This window comes from Homo sapiens, chromosome X, assembly GCF_000001405.40.
Source record: "Homo sapiens chromosome X, GRCh38.p14 Primary Assembly".
In the NCBI taxonomy this organism is placed as follows: Eukaryota; Metazoa; Chordata; class Mammalia; order Primates; family Hominidae; genus Homo; species Homo sapiens.
Genome location: NC_000023.11, coordinates 20,486,178 through 20,488,031, shown reverse-complemented (window position 1 = coordinate 20,488,031; position 1,854 = coordinate 20,486,178). Strand labels below are relative to the sequence as shown.

The 1,854-nt window shown below is 43.8% G+C and overlaps 1 annotated feature.

Moving 5' to 3' along the window:
• Positions 386-1,585: an enhancer, noted in NCBI's record as "CDK7 strongly-dependent group 2 enhancer chrX:20504565-20505764 (GRCh37/hg19 assembly coordinates)". NCBI's record gives its function as "activates an origin of replication core promoter dependent on BRD2, BRD4, P300/CBP, MED14 and CDK7 cofactors, with strong dependence on CDK7, by STARR-seq in HCT116 cells {active_cell/tissue: HCT116}" and the evidence as "EXISTENCE:reporter gene assay evidence [ECO:0000049][PMID:35650434]".

The window sequence follows — 1,854 nt, the reverse complement described above, 5'->3', positions numbered from 1 at the left end:
GTCTAGTCAGGTGCAAAGAAAAGGGTTTTTTGAAATGGGCTAGTCAGTTTCTGCCACAAATGCCATTTGAGGTCCATCTATTTTCTTCTTCCCTACTGACCTTTCTCTACCACAGCTGAGGTATGGAGAAGCCCTTATGACCCTTCTGGCTAGGGCAATGTTTCCCCAGCGAACTCCAGGTTCTAACCTCTATTTTTATTCTCTTGATTTTTAAAATTCTGCTAATCCCTCTAGTTTCTGAGAAGATTCTGAAGTCAGGCCAGTGTTAAGGAGCAGAAGGCAAAAGATGTGGATCTGAATCATGGCACTGCCTCCAGAGACATTGCTGGGTCCGTAACATCGTATACACAAAGGCACAAATGCAGGTCTTGAGATGCTCAAGGCCTCAAGCCTGTAGTACCATGTATTAACACTTCCTGCTCCCAATGTCCTTGAGAGGACTAGAGCTTTTCTCTGAAATGACCTGCTCCATTGATAATGCATCTACTTTCCCAGAGATAGGAAGAAGACTCATTCTTCAGAGGGCATGAACAGCAAATTCTTTTTTCATCTCCTATGATACAGAGTAGGAGTGCTGTAAATGCCAAGCAGTATGGATTTTTAGAATGATGAGTCACCACTTCTGGTTTTTTTCAAGGCAATTATTCATCCAGTCTGAATCTCTTCAAAATGAGCCATGAGTCTGTCATATGGATGAAGAGAATGGCCGAGATCCCCAAAAACCAAAAGATTGATTTAGGTCAAATAGTAAAGCTGGGAATGACTTTTAGAAATAGTGCATCTGGTTTAAGAAAAGAATTAAAATTCAGAACTCAAGGGCTGAGACTGTTTACCAGGGTAACCTTGGCTTCAACAATCCTCTGGCACCAAAGGTCTGGGTTATTTTTGTGGAAGAGGGAGTCTAGCTTATGCTTCACTTTTTTTCAGGCAGGTACCCAGCTCCTAGAAAATGCCTCTTCAGCTCAAAGTTAGAGAGAGAGATTTAATTAACAGACAGTAATATCATAAACATTAAATCTGCAAGTTGTCTAAGGAAACAGATCCCCACAAACCCCGTCCTGTAAATACCTCCACTTCCTACAGTTTCCCAACTGTAGTGCACTCCCCACCCTCACCCCCACCTTGGTTTTCTGCCTCCAGTTTTCCCTTACCTTGAACCACCATCTTTTGGCTCTAAGATTATGATCCTAAGCTGTAGCAGTTTCCTCAGCTGCTTGTTGCCCTCTGCACACTTTTAATCTTGGTGGGAAAAAAAATCCTCTCTGTCACTTATAAAACTGGGATTGCTTCCATTTTTTAACTCCATTTGTTAAAGACAGGGTGATAAACTGTGGCTTGCTCCTGGAAGAAGAGAATAAAACTTCTCTGCCCATACTGAGGCAGACCCATTCCCTAGCATACACACAGGTACATGCCAGGCCAACCAGCAAAAGATATTGCTAGGCCAGGCACAGTAGCTCATGCCTGTAATCCCTGCATTTCAGAGGCCAAGGCTGGAGGCCCGCTTGGGCCCAAGAGTTTGAGACCAACCTGAGCAACGTGGCGAAACCCTGTCTCTGCAAAAAGTATAAAAATTAGCCGGGCATGATGGCATGTGCCTGTAGTAACAGCTACTGGGGAGGCTGAAGGGGGACAATCACTTGAGTTAAGCCTAGGAAGCAGAGGTTGCAGTGAGCTGAGATTATGCCACTGTACTCCAGCCTGGGCAACACAGCGAGATACTGTCTCAAAAACAAGCAAAAAAAGATATTGCTATCTTTTTATCCTTGTATGCATAGATCCTCACATGGATCTATGAAACCAGGACCCTGAACCTATTTCATGAAGAATCACTGTGCTCACTTGGGTATGAAG